Source organism: Homo sapiens, chromosome 6 (genome assembly GCF_000001405.40).
Source record: "Homo sapiens chromosome 6, GRCh38.p14 Primary Assembly".
Lineage (NCBI taxonomy): Eukaryota > Metazoa > Chordata > Mammalia > Primates > Hominidae > Homo > Homo sapiens.
In genome coordinates this window covers 52141845-52158054 of record NC_000006.12, presented here as the reverse complement: position 1 = coordinate 52158054, position 16210 = coordinate 52141845, and the positions used below count along the sequence as shown (strand labels likewise).

Sequence of the window (16210 nt, the reverse complement as noted above, 5' to 3'; positions counted from 1 at the left end):
CTGATTGTAGCATTTGATTTTGCCAGCTCATCATCTTCAACATGGAGATAAAGACAGCCATCTGCTAGGTTTTTATCAGGATTAAATGAAATGGTGAATGAAATGAGAACCTTAAAGCTGAGAGGCAGATGCAGGGCAGCGTGTTGGGACTCACTCACTTCCTAAATGACTCACTTCTACACAACAGCCTCAGAGGGAGCACAGATTTCTGTTTTAGTTAAATTATAAATGACTACGTCATGGGCTTTTGGAGTCACTGATGAAGAGTCAAAACTGTAATACCAAGTGTCTACAGTCTGTGTTCTTTGGGGGAAGTAGGAGTGGCATAAATGATGACCAACACATGCTGGGTGAGTTCCGTGGAAATAGGGTGCTCTACACAGGCTCCAGCTCATGGTCATGTCAGCTCTCCCGGATGCTCTTGGCTTTTTCCTAGTCTGGTTTTATTTACCTCCCCCTACTCCCACCTAAAGCTGATGCAGAGGGAAGTTTGTTGGCTCAGTTCCTCCACTATTTTAGCAGTTTGAAGCTTGGCAGCTCTGGCTGGAAGGACTCAGCGACATTCTTGCAAATGATTGAGGGACTGGGCTAGGTGGGGTCCCTGGGACTGAGGGAACCAAGGCTCCCTCCTGAGGGTGATGCTCAGAGATTCGGCCCAGTCTGATGATATTGTGACTCGTTATGATGTACACAATGAAGGCAGGGCCTCCCAGGGAGACCCAATGAGATGGAGGCAGGGAGGGACAAAGAGAAGTGAGAGAGGAAAATAAGATAACAAAGAGACATACTTGAAACTAGTAACACACAGAGAATTTTTTTAGTGTTTACACTCTCCACTGGGTTTTTGTGTTCTAAATGTTTGCCTCTTGATAATTCTTCAAGCCAATTCCCCTTGGGACTGTTTTGGATTCCTTTTTCTTCATTGAAAAGCATTCTGTGGATTAAATAAAAAGATGCTACTTGCCAACATGCAACTAGTTTTTTGGAAAATATACGGTTCAGGAATGCAGTATTTGCTTTCGGTATTTTTAATAAAACCTTTCTTTTTCCACCATACTCTCCTCCATCCTTCTTTCTCCACTCTTTTTCACCCCCTCTCATACCCTCATGCCCCAGCACACTCAATCCTTGCACATGTATGTGTGGTGATGAATAAAACACAATGATGAGCTTCAGTAGAGAGTGCCGAGAAGTGCCATTTGCCACTTGGAAATGCCGGGAGCCAGAGGAATGTCTGTAATATAAGAAGCTTATTTTTAAAAGGACTCCTTTTCTCTTTCCTTCTCTGGATTTTCTTTCTTTACCCTACACGTGTGTGTGTGTGTGTGTGTGTGTGTGTGTGTTTGCAGGCAGGGTGAGTGCTGTCCACTGCCACAGGCAGGGAAGAGAGCTTTTCTCCATTGTAAATGAAAGTGCTTTATTTTTGTGGGTGCCCCTTGCTGCTGTGGGACATTCCAGTTTGGGTAAGTCAGGTAGAACAGTGGGTCACTCGGGCCAACACGTTTTACTGAGTGTCCTTGGTTAGGGAGGTTGAAGCCCAGGAAAAGCTGGTCAACAGGTGGTTGTTTTATTGGGGTGGCATTTTTCCAGTTCTCCAAGGTGCCCACAGTTGCTGGTTCTGGAAGAGGATGTGGAATGACGGGGGCTGGGGGAAGTGGGAAGAGGAGACAGAGGCCATGAGGGCTTTCACATATGCGAAACAGCTGAGCCAAGCAGGGTCAAGCAGTTACAAGGGCATTGTTGTGAGCTTAGGCCACTGGGTGGAATCTCTCTGACCAATGGTCCTTCACCACAAAGCCCACAAAGGCAGGAAATGTGCACATTACTTAGAGGATGCCACTGGTCACAATTTGATTGCCCTCTAAGGGCTGTCAAACACCACTGAAACCTGTTCCTCCAGGCACTTCCTGAGTACCTGCGGTTTTGTGTGTGATGACTGAAGGGATATTTTTAAAAGCCATTGTAATGTTGCTACTGGTCTATTTCAATGAGAACTGAAAAAGGAGGCATGGGTCTTTAGCTTTTTTTATAAAAAGCAAGCTCAGGTAATCTGCCCACACTACCTTCACTGCATGCCTCCTCTGCAACCAACCCCAGAGAGGCAGGTAAAAATTTGGGATTGGAGGAAGTCTGGGGATGGAGTGAGATCTGCGGTGCATTGAGGCTCAGAGAGAGGTAATGTGGCCATATATGTAACTTGATAATAAGGAAAAGTTGAAAAGTTAGTGGTTTGTTTTTAAAAAGACATGAAATGCGTGTAAATGTCCAAATCACTGGGGTCCAAACAGCTGTGTCAAAATGGCCACAATAAAATTTTAGATACTCGGGCTAATATGAGCAAAGAGAGGGAAATTTTAAATAGCAACATTAAAGATACATGAAGTTTTTTATTCTCTCACATAGACTTTTTTTCCCCCTCTTGGAGTTATGAGAAAACAGAAACGATTCTGTCTTTTGGACTAACTGGAAGACAAGCCTGTTGTGATGGTTAATGTGTCAACGTGACTGGCTACAGAGTGCACCGATGTTTGGTCAAGTGTTAATCTGGGTGTTTCTGAGAGGGATGAGATGAATGTTTAAATTGGTGGACTGAGTAATGCAGATTGCCCTCATAATGTGGGTGGGCCTCATCCAGTAAAATTAAGGCCCAAACAGGTAAAAAATGTTGATGCTCCCCTGAGTAAGAGAAAATTCGTCCTGCTTGACTAACGTTGGGCTGGAATTACATCATTGGATCTCCTGGGTCTTCAGCTTCCTGCAGATTTTGGGACTTGTCAGCTTCCGTAGTCACATGAGCCAATTCCCTGCAATAAATCTGTTTCTGTTTCTCTGTCTCTCCGTGTGTGTGTGTGTGTGTGTGTGTGTGTGTGTGTGTATGCACATATATGTGAATATGTACTTATATATTCATATATATTGGTTCTGTTTCTATCTATAAAATAATTTACATTTTTTGTGAAGAGACTATTAGGTTGGTGCAAAAGTAATTGTAACTGCAACAATGCAATTACTTTTGCACCAACCTAATACCTGGGTGTGGTCCGGTGAGTCAAGCTGTGGAATGTCAGGAAATTTGGCTGTGAGTACATCGGCTTCTGTATCTTGGAAGTGTGGTTTCATAAGTGTAATTCCTGTTTATAATACTTTTTTCTATTAAGAGAACAATAATTCCTGATATTTTGGTTGAAAACTCTAAGTACCTGAGACCCACTTATTGGCCTTCTATGAAGAAAGAACTGAAAATTATTTTGGGGTGGATGAAAATGCAGCTATTCTTAGTTTCCCCAGAGGAAAATTCAAGAGGAAATGGGTTTACACAGCAGTAGGGGGGGGTTTATGTGGGGCATAAAGGAGCGTGTTCAGGACAAGGTTCTGTCAAGAATGTGCATGGAGCATGTTTCCTTGGCATACAGGATGGTCAGAGCAGGGACCACACGGGGTCTTGGATGACATAGTGTCTAAGGTGACCCCACCGACCCTTCCCCCAGCTCTCCCTGTCTGTAGGGATTTAGGGGGACACTGAATGGTGATTTAGTGAATGGTGAGTTAGGGTAAAACTCAGCCTTGTTTTTGAAAGAGCCATTAGGTGAAGGAATGGCCAGATGTACAGCAAGGATGGTGAGATCTGATTCACAGCAGGCTGCCAAACTTCATCTGCCATAGTGACCTGTGTTCTCTCCTTACATATTTTTATTGTTTTAAATTTGGATAGCCCTGACAGTTGGAAATTGGGAGTGGGGCAGGGGATTACTATTTTACATTATAAGCTTTAAAAATTTAAACCTTGTACATGTATAGCTTTGGGAAAAATAAAAAGACATAAAAATAAAAAATCTCTGTGGCTTACTTTTTGTTACAAGTAATACATGCTAGCTGGGAAAAATTTAGAAAATTCAGAGAGGCCGTCCTCCAAAAATCCATTGTCTAGAAATATTTACTCTTGGACCTTTGGTCTAGATTCTTCCATATTTTTCTTAACATATACATACATGTATTTTTCTTAAAAACAGAAATGGATTGTGTTAGTTTCCCTTTGTGAGTTAACAATATGTCTCCAGAGTGTCAAAGGGTATATATTTGATGCTATATGAGTTAGGGCACTTTTGTTTGCAAATGATGTAATTTCAGTGTTAAGTGCCTTAGGTAAAAAGGAATACAGAATATAGGAACTGGGCCTTGGGAACAACCACGTCCAGGACTGAAATACCTCTGGGGCTCTGTATCTGTTCTCTCTTTGGTTTCTTTTTAAGTAATTGGTTCATTCTTATCTCTTACTAAGCACTACTGAGAAATACTGGGAATAATTTTGAAGCTTCACATCTTTCTATTTTAACTTTCCAAGGAAACACAGCTTTAATTTTTATAGACCAATAATCCAAACTCCCATGAAAGGGCTCACTAGGATGGCTTAAGTTAGAGAAAGGTGCATGGTTGTAAAGGTTCTTGGGGAAGCATGGTGAATGGAGGGAGGGAGAGGTAATTTTAAGAATAGCCAAGGGGGCTGGGTGCAGTGGCTCACGCCTGTAATCCCAGGACTTTGGGAGGGCAAGACGGGTGGATCATGAGGTCAAGAGATTGAGACAATCCTGGCCAACATAGTGAAACCCCGTCTCTACTAAAAATACAAAAATTAGCCAGGCGTGGTGGTGGGTGCTTGTAGTCCCAGCTACTTGGGAGGCTGAGGCAGGAGAATCACTTGAACCCAGGAGGCAGAGGTTGCAGTGAACTGAGATTGCACCACTGCGCTCCAGCCTGGCAATGGAGCAAGACTCCATCTCAAAAAAAAAAAAAAAAAAAAAAGAATAGCCAAGGGAGGGAGACTGAGCTGTTAACAGAGAAAGAGAAGATTCTGGGCAGAGAAGATAATAGCCTTCTTGATGCCTATGTATTGATAAATGATGCTTTGAAGAGTATAGACCTATATTCACTCCCAGCTATGTATGAGCTGCTGTTTTCTAACAGTCTTGCCAGCCCTGGGAATTACCATCAGAAAGAAACTCGTTGATGGACTGCACTAATGGGATTTTCTTGTTTGTCTGGATTCCTGCCAGTTAGATAGCCCCGCACTATTTTCCGTCAACTCCTTCCGGGGAAGAGCTCCTTCAGCACGCCTGTGCTATCACTTTCTTCCTCCCAACACTCACCAGATGTGGGGGTGGGGTCCATTCTGAGGGTGACCAAGAGTCGTCATGTTTGACCGGTGTGACATCATGGGCTGCCACTTACTGGCACAGGACTGATGATGATACAGGAACACACATAAAGGGACACAGCAGCAATCACAAAACCACACACCCCACTGGGTGGCCTAACCTAGATTTCTGCCCTGAAGAGGGGCTGTGGCAGGATGAGCAACCGCAACCCGTGGGCAGCAGTCCCCATTCTCTGATTCCTCTTGATTTCTTACGGAAATGGAGAGTTTGGGCTTGTGGGACCTTTGAACATGGATATCAAGGTCATTCAAACTTACCAGAAAACATGTTTTCTTAAAGGTTCTGTCTTTTTATAGTGGTGAGTGGGAGCAGGAATACATTTGCTCCCCTCCTGGTTTAAGGAAAATCAAACAGAAATGTGAATGGAAGTTGAATTCTCCAGGAGTGAATAAGAGGGGACAGTACGATATTTTGACTTTGGAGGCAGGCTATGACTAGAACTCCTTCCATCCTGTGGCCCTCAAAGATGTGTTCTGCAAAGACCCTTGAGGGCAAGGGGATAGGTAGAAAGTTGGATGACAATGTTCACTCATGTTCTCCAACCCTTGCCAGAAGTGTGCTAGCTTGCTCCCCTTCCCTCTCCTCCCCTCCTCTCCTTTTCTTTTTCTTTATTCCTTTCTCTCTCCTTCCTTCCTTTCCTTTACCTTCTTTCTCTCCCTCCCTCCCTCTCTCCCTTCTTAACTTCCTTCCTTCCTTCCCTCCCTCTCTCACTCCTTCCCTCCCTCTCTACCTCCCTCCCTCTTCTTTCCTTCTTTTTTTTTCTTTTGTTTTTGAGACAGGGTCTCACTCTGTCACCCAGGCTGGAGTGCAGTGGTGCCATCGCAGCTCACTGCAGCCTCAATCAAACTCCTGGGCTCAAGCGATCCTCCCACCTCAGCGTCCCCATCCCTGTGCCCAGCTAATTTTTGGTATTTTTTGTAGAGATGGAGTTTTGCTCAGGCTGGTCTTGAACTCCTGAGCTCAAGAGATCCGCCAGCGTTGGCCTCCCAAAGTGCTGGGATTTATAGACAAGAACCCTCATGCCTGGCCTGGCTGGCTTCTTTCTAACAGAGAGAAGACATTATTTAGTCTTAGCCTTATATGTCTTGTCCAGTTTTATCAGGCATTTTAGCCATAATATCCCAAATATGAAAGTGACCCTTTTTTAACACTCCTTTTACCTATACCTGGCATTGTTATCTAATCTTTACCTACATGACCTCTGCCCTTCCAGATGGAAAAGATCCCTCCTGTTAAGGACAGCTGGTATTTGGCCACATCATGTTTGTTTTCTGTTCTGCCAGGTGACTTCCGGGTGACAGCTCTGCGACTGCGCTTCAAGATCACCCTGCTTCTACTCCCAGAGGCATACCCCTAGTTCGCAGGGAAGTTCCATTTCATCACAGACCTGGGAAGCAGAGAGAAGCTTGTTGCCATCCTTCCCCCACACCTTACTACTGCTTTGAACCAGTGTGCTGCATTGAAAGAGATAAGTAGAAATAGTTGAACCAAAAATTACATGATCCCATAGTTTGTGCTTAAAATAAACAAAGAAGCTGATCTTTCAGTGAACATGTTTTTATTGAACACCAACTTAATTTCAGGAACATTTCAGGTACATTGTCAGAAATAAAGACTCTTAAGAATGTATTATTATGTACCCAATACTGGTTTCAGGCCTTTACATGTATTCTCATGAAACTCTATGAAGTAGATATTATTATCAATATTCCTACTTTACAGATGAGGAAACCCAGGCCTGGAGAGGTCAAGCAACTTGCTCAAGTGGCACAGCTGGAGAGTGGGGAGCTGGGACTTGAGCCCAGGTAGTGTGTCCCCAGCACCTTCAACTAAACTCCATTCTGTGCTGCCCTTTGGAACACCCACTCAATGGCCTTCACACTCCATGTCCTACTTGGGAGGACATGTGATCTCAACAGCACTCACAAATGAAGGCTTTCCAGACAGGATATTGAAGATGGTAAGATCAGTCTCATGTATAAAGCATTTTTTAAAAGTAAAGCATATTATATGCTAGTCATATGTACTAGGGTGAATGCATGTATGCTACATGCTAGTAGAATTAATAGTTGGAATATAAAAATACCCTATAGGCTGGGCACGGTGGCTCACATTTGTAATCCCAGCACTTTGGGAGGCCAAGGCGGGCGGATCACTTGAGGTCAGGAGTTCAAGACCAGCCTGGCCAACATGGTGAAACCCTGTCTCTACTAAAAATATAAAACTTAGTCGGGTGGTAGTGGTGCGTGCCTGTAATCTCAGCTGCTTGGGAGGCTGAGGCAGGAGAATCGCTTGAGCCTGGGAGGCGGAGGTTGCAGTGAGCTGAAATCGTGCCACTGCACTCCTATCTGGGCAACAGAGTGAGACCCTGTCTCAAAAAATAAACAAAAACAAAAACAAAACAACAACAACAAAAAACAAAACCCTACAGTGAGCAATGAGCCTTTATGTATTTTTTGAGTTCTTCTCCTATTTTTTTTTTAATTTGGCTCTTTCCTTCTACATACAAGTGCCTGTGGACACAGCATTGTCCTTGTGCTGTTGCCATTTACAGCAGTAAAACAACAGCTACTATTTCTTAAGGGCTTATATTTGGCTCTTTATTAACACTGTCTGTTTTAAGCCTTACGGTAACTGAGGTTGGTATCATTGTCCCCATTTTACAGATGAGTAAACTAAGGCTTGTGCAATGTTAATTGAGCTGCGGAGAGGATATATCACAGCTAATAAATTAGAGGGGCAGCATTCAACCCCAGGTCTTCCTGAATGCAAAGATTTGTGCTAGTAAGCTCTGTGTTCTCCTCTGAGGTCACTGTGGTGGGCTCTAGGCACTTATGCTACCCCATTTGTGTCAGAATACAGCATGTGAACACACATGTCTATAGAATTTTAAACCCAAATATTTACTTATTACTGTCTAAGTTCCAGACACACACCATAAAAGATACAAATCTTAAAAGATAAACTGGAAGGACAGGTCAGAATTCTCCCTTAGTAAAAGGTAGCGATTATGAGAACTTAGCTCATTACAGCCTCCATCTCCTGGACTTAAGTGATCTTCCTGCCTCAGCCTCCCAAGTAGCTAGGACTATAGGTGTGCACTACCGCATTCAGCTAATTAAAACAAAAAAAATTTTTTTTTGGTAGAAACAGCATCTTGCTATGTTGACCAGGCTGATCTGGAACTCCTGGCCTCAAGCAATCCCCTGTCTTAGCCACCCCAAATGCTGAGATTTTAGGCATAAGCCACTGTGCCTGGTGTGACAGGTACTATTATCCCTATTCTACAGATCAGGGAACTGAGAAATGATTGCTTAGTGAATAGATATCTTGGGCTGAATAGATCAATAGAGACTTGATGATACATAATGTGCTAGGCATATTTGGTGGGATAGGTAAGAATTATGCCTTGGAACTAGCCATGCTATAACTTGCAATTCAATTGGATCACACCATATATACATGTCTAATTTCTTTCCTTAGACTGTTAGCCCCTAGTGAGCAGGAGCCCTGTCTTCTATGTCTCATGCTCTTCCCCTGGCTGGCTTAGGGTTGGCACAAACTCCATCCTCAAACTCTTTCTTGACTGTGTGTCTGTCAAAAGCATGTAAGTGGCTGCAGCTGTGAGTGCAAAGGCACAGAACAGTGTGTGTTGAGCATTAAAATCTTGCTCACTTTTGACTCCAGGACTCCTCTTCTCTTCCTTCCTGGGAGCATAAGAATATGGTGAAAAAACCAGAATTGTTTTCTCAAGGAAAGTTTTAGTAGGTAATTTCAGTTGCAGTTGAATCTCTTCTGTTTCTCCAAGGACTGGGCATTGCCAGCCCTGCTGTAGCTGGTTGAAGGGGACCAAACCTCTCAGGAAGACGGACTTGGTTCCGTTTGACCAGCCAGAGCAGGGGGCATCTTTCTTCTGAGGTGACTGCAGCCTCTAGTGTGCAGGTATCTTGGTGTGTCTCAAGCATCATTTGTCTAAGCCTGTAATGCAAAAAGAAGCAGCATTAGCATCTGTCAAATGCCAGGAGCTTGCCTTGTCCAGAATGTCCTCTTACATGATTTGTACATACATCTCATACAATTTGTACATACAAATCATACATAATTTGTATTTCATGTTGCATGACTTCAATTTATTTTTTCTTTAATCTTTAATCTTTTTTCAAATAGAAACATCATGAAGATCAAATATGCTATAGAATTATAGAATATGAAAAATGACAGTATGCCATAATGCTTCCTCTTCCCATTTTCCGAAAGAAATGTAACATTTTGGCATATATTCTTTGAATGCTTAACATTTTAATTTCTTTAAATTATGTTTTTAATTCAAGTATGATATATTTATAAAAGAATATTTATAATATATAAGTGATGGTACATAATGGTAAAACCAATACCCATGAACAACGATCTACTTTTTTTTGTTGTTACTTTTTTGAGATGGAGTCTCACTCTGTCACCCAGGCTGGAGTGCAGTGGCGCTATCTCAGCTCACTGCAACCTCTGCCTCCTGTTTCAAGTGATTCTCCTGCCTCAAACTCCTGAGTAGCTGGAATTACAGACACCTGCCACCATGTCCCGCTATTTTTGTATTTTGAGTAGAAATGGGGTTTTGCCATGTTGGCCAGGCTGGTCTCAAACCCCTGACCTCAGGTGATCCACCCATCTCAGCCTCTCAAAGTGCTGGGATTTTAGCCGTGAGCCATCACGCCTGGCCCAACGATCTACCTTTTAAAAAGAACTATTTTTTACTGTTTTATACTATTGCTTTCTTTGTACTGAATGCTTTTTCCAATTTATTTCTTTATGTTTCCCCCCGGAGGTAACAATCACACTGAATTTATTTTTTCTTATGATTTTGATATTTTTCTTTATAGTTTTTACCATTTATGCATATATTTCTAAACAATATATATGCATATTTTAGTATATAATGGCATCATATCATAGGTATTGTTTTGTGACTTGATATTTCATTTAAAATGATATTTGCAAGATTCATCCATATTGATGTGGTAGCAGCAGTTTATTAATTTTCATTGCTTTATGGTTTTCTACTGTGTGAATATACTATAATTTATTTATTCTCCCAGCCATAGACATTGAGGTTGTTTGGTTTAACAAGGGGATAGCATTGACTAAACTGTTTCTCAAAGGAGGTGGAAAAATCTTTGATTCTTGCAGATTTTAAAGGAGAACTCTGGATTTGTATGTTGGCCTTGTAAAAGAATGGCAACACTTACCAGCCCGAAACATCTGGAAGTAGGACCCAGAAATTAGTGCTATAACCTGCCCTTTGGGTGATTCCGATGCAGCTCAAGTTTGAGAACCACTGAACTAATAGGAGTACCCACTGGTTTCTCTCTGTTTCTAGGGAGGTGTGAGCTGTGGGAGAGAGCTGACTAAGAAGAAGAAACTCCCCAGAAAGGTGGCCTGCCAGTCTTCACGATGTATGGGAGCAGGTGGGAAAAGAGGTAGGCAGAAAGGATAGTTTGAATGATGCTAGAAAATTGTCCTTCTCCCTGGGGGCTAGGCATTGCAGCCCTTTTATTTTCTCTTCCTGATGAAGACAAGTAAAACTAAGTGGAATGCATGTGGCCTTGGAGTCACACTTATCTGGGTTCAAATCCTACCAATGCTTTCCTGGCTCTTTTGCTTCTAGGAAGTTACATAACATCTTTTAACCTGAGTTTCTACATCTGCACAGCAGGAGAAGGTTGTATCTACTCTGCCTGCTTGTTGCGAGGCTTAATGACAAGGAAGGAAAGGTGCACTGTGTCCCTAGTGGGCACCATGGACAGTGTCAGGGGTGTGGGAAAGTCCTAGAGACAATCCTGACTGCTTTGGAGGCCAAGAAGTTCACTCTCAACTCCAGCCTGTCCTTTACATGTTTCCCTTCCTCAGCTGCAAGTGTTTGCACTTCATCATTGAAATTGTTGAAACTGCTGATCAGGAAACACAGAATGAGTTTAACCAGCGATGCCAACTTCTGCAAGATGGACTCCAGCTTGGGAGCTCTGTATGGAATAAATAAGATATCCCAGACATCAAAGCACTCAATAAGGCACTGTAGAAATGGCAACAAGGTAAAAGCCCACAATGATGGTGGTGGTGAGAAAGCAGGGCACCACAGAACATGGCTTGGTTCTAGAGTGGTCTGTGCAGGGTTACGTTGAAGCTTCTGTCTTGGCTTGTCCTCTCCTCCTTGGTGTGCATTCTCCTGGCCCTGTAGTCCTGGCATCTTACCTTCTGCCTCCTCCTGCCAGTGACATAGCTGTCTTGAAGCTGCTGCCTGCCAGCTCTTCCTCTGGCTAACCTCTGCTCCTTCTCTAGCTCCTCCTGGGGAGCAAGGAAGCAGGCAGTTGTGGGGGCAGAGGGCAGCCCATTGGTCTGAAATCAGGACTGAAAAGCACATGTGTCCAGCTTGCCAGCCAGAATGACAAACCTCTTTTTTGTGCAGTTTCTTCAATTCTGGACACTTTCTCCCACCATCTCTCTCTTCTCTTCTTTACTCACGTCCTGCCCCACCCCCAGCAGCACAGCCACCCATACAACATACCCCCAGTTTCTGAGCAGAGGACATGAAATTAAACTCCAGGATAGGAAAAGGAAGTGTATCATTAGAACAGGTATGATTTAGGAAAGGGAAAACGTCATTGGAAAGAAGGACAACCTTGAGCTATCCGCCTATTTTACAGACATGAAGACCAAAGTTTTTAGAATGAAGGACAGTAATTTTCATTGCAAAATATAATGTGCCATAATATGCTGATGTCAGAGACTTCATTTATTCAAAGCACCACTATCAAAAAACCAGGTTTCTCAACCTTAGCATGTTGACATTTTGGGCTGGATATTTCTTTGCTGCGTGTTGGAGGGTTGGGGTGGCCGTTCTGTGCATTGTAGGATGTTCAGCAGCATCCCTGGTCCCCAATCCCTAGATGCCAGGAACCCCCGAGTTGTGACAATTGAGAATGTCTCTAGACACTGCCAAATGCCCCTGGGGAACGACATCATCTCCAATTGAAGGGCCACTAATCTAAAGTGAGAAGTTTCTGTGCTCAGTTCTGTAGCTGTCCCATCTCTAGTAATTTACCATGTTCTTCCAAGTTCCTTCCACCCCCCCAAAAATACAGGTTTTATGCCCTTAAAGGCCATTAGATAACTGTCTGGTTTCTGGAAGAGGTGAGAGGCTTGTGTTGCAGGTGTTACTGAGCCCAGTTAGGGCAGAGGGGAGCCTTGGCCCAGTGCTCTGGGTGCTGTCGCCTCCTTGGGCAGGGGGCCCCTCATCACCAGCTGCTGTGCACTCCTCTGCCATCTCCTATGCAAACATGGTGCATCCTCCCTTCTTCCCTCCCTTTCCTCCTCTCCCATGTCCTTGTTCTGCTGCTGCTCAGTTTCATTTGACAGTCCTGTCTTGTGCATCTTGGCACATTTTGGTCAAATCTTCTCGGGTTTTCTTTTGTGGTTTTGTTTAAGAACTCAAGGTGTAAATGTAGTGTGGTCCCAGCTGTAATTTCTCACACACACTCACCCTAAAAACAAGGAGTCAGAGGTGTGGGATGTAAGAGCCATCCTGGAATGGGGGTTTAAGTGAGGGAAGGAGGCCTCTTCATCTTCCTCCCTTGTTCTGAAACTCTTCGTGGGGTGATGGCATGAGCCTTGGGTGACTGCAGCCTCCCCTCCTGCTCAAGGCTTCCCTCTGTAGATTCAGCACTTTCTTGGTGTGGGTTCAAGCCCTTTGGAGTCAGAGCTGGGAACACAGGGGTTTAGGAAACAGAGGAGAAAGGAACTTGCCTGTTAGTTGAGTTAATCGCTATTTTAGCATCTCAAGGTGTTTCTTCAAACAGCCTTGCAGAGTCCATTTGTGACAGGGTTGTGGTGTGAAGTGGAAAGGACAGCAGAGCAGAGTCAGGGGACTGTGACCCCGGATGAACTACTTATTATGGTTTCCTGAACCTCACTCACAGCACCTGCCTCAGTACAATGCAAGCCCTGAGAAACGCTTGCAATACACATGGCTTGAAAGAGATTATGATTCAGTTTGGTTCATAGAAACCTCTCATTTCAGAAGTAATATGACCAGAGGAAGGAACTAGGAGGGTGAGGGCTGATTCTGTGAAAAACCTTTGGGGGAAAGGCCTTTCCTCACCAGGCTGGCCAGAGGAGCCAGGTCTGGGAGGCTGGCCACAGCGGGGACTGTGGGACAGCAGTCAGTGTGCCTGAAACCTTGGGCTGAGCGAGGACGCCTCAAGAGGGGGAGATAGGGGTGTTCAGGAAGAGCCCAGATGGGATTCAGAGGCTCTTGCTTCCTTGGTGAGGGAGTCATTTGCTGGCACAAAGCCCTGATGAGGAAGAAGGTCACCAAACCTGTGCTCCGGGTGGTACCCTGGGGCCAGCGAGGAGGCACTTGCCGAAACCACACACTTCCTTACATTCCATAGCAAAGTAATCCATATGGGGATATAAAGAAGCATGTGGCCTCGGGAAGCAGTGTCATCCAGAAGCAGCCCGCATCTCAGAAGTGGGCCACTTGTAGCATCTTTCCTCCTTGCCCAGGCAGGAAACTCTTAGCGAGAAGATCACTGGGATCTCAACTCATCCTAAATCCCCCCCGCCCGACCAAATCATGCTGAAATAAATCTGTTGTGAGGAATGGCAGTGCTGCTTGGGACCAAATCCTTCCTACTGTTTGTTCACAGATAAGCAGCACCACGTTTCCCTGGCTTATTCTTGTGCAGCTACAGTCTATCCAGTCCTTTGTTATTACTACTAATTAATTCACTGCTGCTGTTTTTGTGCATTTTGAATGTGATTCTTTTTTAATGTTTGGGATCCAGTGAAGGGAAAATTAAAAAGAAGAGAGAATCCAACAGAGAAATTTTCCACATTCACGCAGAGAGCCACTCATGCTTAGAAACACACCGGCCCTCCTGTACTTCCTACTGTACGTCTATCTGTTTTGGGTGCTTGTTGATGGGCAGCAGCTGCCCATCCAGCATTCCAAGCACCATTGTTCACTGTGGGAAGGATCCTTTTGTCGGGCTTCTGCTCCCCCTAGCCCATCACCTGCCCCACAATCTGTGAGGCCTGAGCCTCAGAAGGATGAGGGACATTGGCAGCTGTTGAGCCACTCAGGGTCTGGATGGCCACCCTGGCTGGAGGGAGATGGGGTTTTGAACTTTGTGGTATCTGATTCTCTGCCAGAAAATGGGGAAACATATGCCAAAGGAAGAGTTGGCCCCCAAAAAAGGTTTGAGGCTCACAGCACTGGCTGGGGTGGTTAAAAACATTTAATCACAGTAATAAAAAATAAGAGGTAACTTTTTATAAGTATGTTTTCTATAACAGAATCATTACAGTGTTTTGCGTATGTGAGCACCTTGACTCCTACCTACTCTATGAAATGTAGCCATTTTATCTGATTTTACAGATGAGGAAAATGAGGATCGTAGAAATGTATTAATTATCATATTTATAAATGGTAATTATTTAAAAAAAACTAATCAGATTGGAGGCACAGTTTTGGATCAACCCATGGAGAGAGGCTTAGAAGGTAAAAAAAATGTTGAGAAGGAAGAAAAGGAAACACTATGGGTTTTTGACTTGGTGTACCTTTATCCTTTCTGTAACTCTGCGCTTGGGGTGTTGTTGATGGAGGTGGCTTAGAAACCATACTGTTTCTTAGGAAAATAGGAAAATGTCTCTAGCATCCCAGTCAAAATCTTTCGGGCTGACCTTGGGAATCATCCAATGGCTCATCCAATTCCATCCAATGGCTATGTAAGCTTCTGCTCTGAAAACACTGTTTTCTCCCATAGTCAAGTATGAACTTCATAGAAGTGAGAGTTTGGGGCTACCCTTCCTTCTCTAAGTTTGGGGGCAGTGGGCAACCAAAAACACACTATCAGGGGCTGATGGCAGGGAGGCAGCTTGGTCAAAGGAGGAAGGAGGTGTGTCTGTGCCTCTAAGAAAATAAAAATGTCTCATTTCTTTCATAGAACCAGGGAACTTAAGAGCTGAATAAATGTCCATTTTAACTAGTTACATCTGTCAGATGGAGATCCTCCAAAGTGTTTGGCATTTGAGTTGTGAGGAGTGAGGGTTTGCACCGATGAGAGGAACCATCAAGTTTTATGTTCAAAGAACTAGAAAGAGCCAACTTTAAGAGACTTGCTATTCATGAGCCAGGCTGAGCTTCATACATTTATGTAGGAATACAAAAGAAAAAGATTTCCAGGGAAAAGATTTGAGATAGCCAAGACAGTGTAAACTATCCCATTAGACTGTCCCCAACATTTGGGTGTGAATTGTTTTGTCTTTGCCAAGCCCAACCTTGTAGGGTGAAAAGATTACTTAAAAGTTCACTGCAAAATCTGCAGGAGAAAAACAAATTGTTAATAACCAATTACTTGACAATTAATGAGTCCAGGTAACTAAATTCTTATCACTTTAGAATGAATAGAGAATTTTGAAAGTCGAGAGAGAGAGTTTGAAATGGGAATATCTATGATGAAAGCCTTGTTTAAACCTTCTTCCCATTTTCCTGGACATCTAGCTTAAGACACAAGAAAGAAAAGTCATGGAACAGGTTAGAAAATGGAGAGAAAGGTAGACTGGAAAAACAAACTACGGCAAAACCAACATATTTCAGACAAGACAAAAATAGTAGGTAAAAAAATCTGGGATGGAGAACATAAAGACACGTTTCTCTGTGCTTTGCATAGGGCAAGGGCATCTATATGACAATTGGATGTGGGTTTTTTTTCCAGATTATTTATCTAGTTTCCTATCTACCCAAATCTTTTGACTTTAGTAGGCACTGTTAATGGAAAGAATTAGGAGATGTGGTGTGTCACTTGGCCAATTGTGTGCTGGGTGATATTAGCCAAATTACCAGCTTTCTGTCTTCATTCCTATACCAAATCCCATGCTACTTATCTGTAAATAGCAGTTGTGTAACCCCAGCTGCCCACCAAAGAATGGGTTGAAGATTA

General features: G+C 43.5%; 1 long non-coding RNA gene and 2 other non-coding genes across 3 annotated transcripts, besides 2 other annotated features; 1 reads left to right on the top strand and 2 right to left on the bottom strand.

The window, feature by feature from the left end:
• Positions 1615–1664: an enhancer, noted in NCBI's record as "active region_24665". NCBI's record gives its function as "activates an Ori minimal core promoter by ATAC-STARR-seq in GM12878 lymphoblastoid cells {active_cell/tissue: GM12878}" and the evidence as "EXISTENCE:reporter gene assay evidence [ECO:0000049][PMID:35858748]".
• Positions 4910–5204: an enhancer, noted in NCBI's record as "tiled region #8754; K562 Activating non-DNase unmatched - State 21:Repr". NCBI's record gives its function as "activates a minimal TATA promoter and a strong SV40 promoter by Sharpr-MPRA in K562 cells {active_cell/tissue: K562}" and the evidence as "EXISTENCE:reporter gene assay evidence [ECO:0000049][PMID:27701403]".
• Positions 7032–11241, top strand: LINCMD1 (long intergenic non-protein coding RNA, muscle differentiation 1). Its single transcript, NR_131248.1, has 3 exons — positions 7032–7173; positions 10588–10687; positions 11118–11241. It is a non-coding gene; the product is annotated as a long intergenic non-protein coding RNA, muscle differentiation 1 (long non-coding RNA).
• On the bottom strand, positions 9014–9132 carry MIR133B (microRNA 133b). The gene has a single exon (NR_029903.1). It is a non-coding gene; the product is annotated as a microRNA 133b (primary transcript).
• A 2379-nt stretch (positions 11242–13620) lies between the features above and the next one.
• MIR206 (microRNA 206) lies at positions 13621–13706 on the bottom strand. Its single transcript, NR_029713.1, has one exon. It is a non-coding gene; the product is annotated as a microRNA 206 (primary transcript).
• Between the last annotated feature and the right edge of the window lie 2504 nt (positions 13707–16210).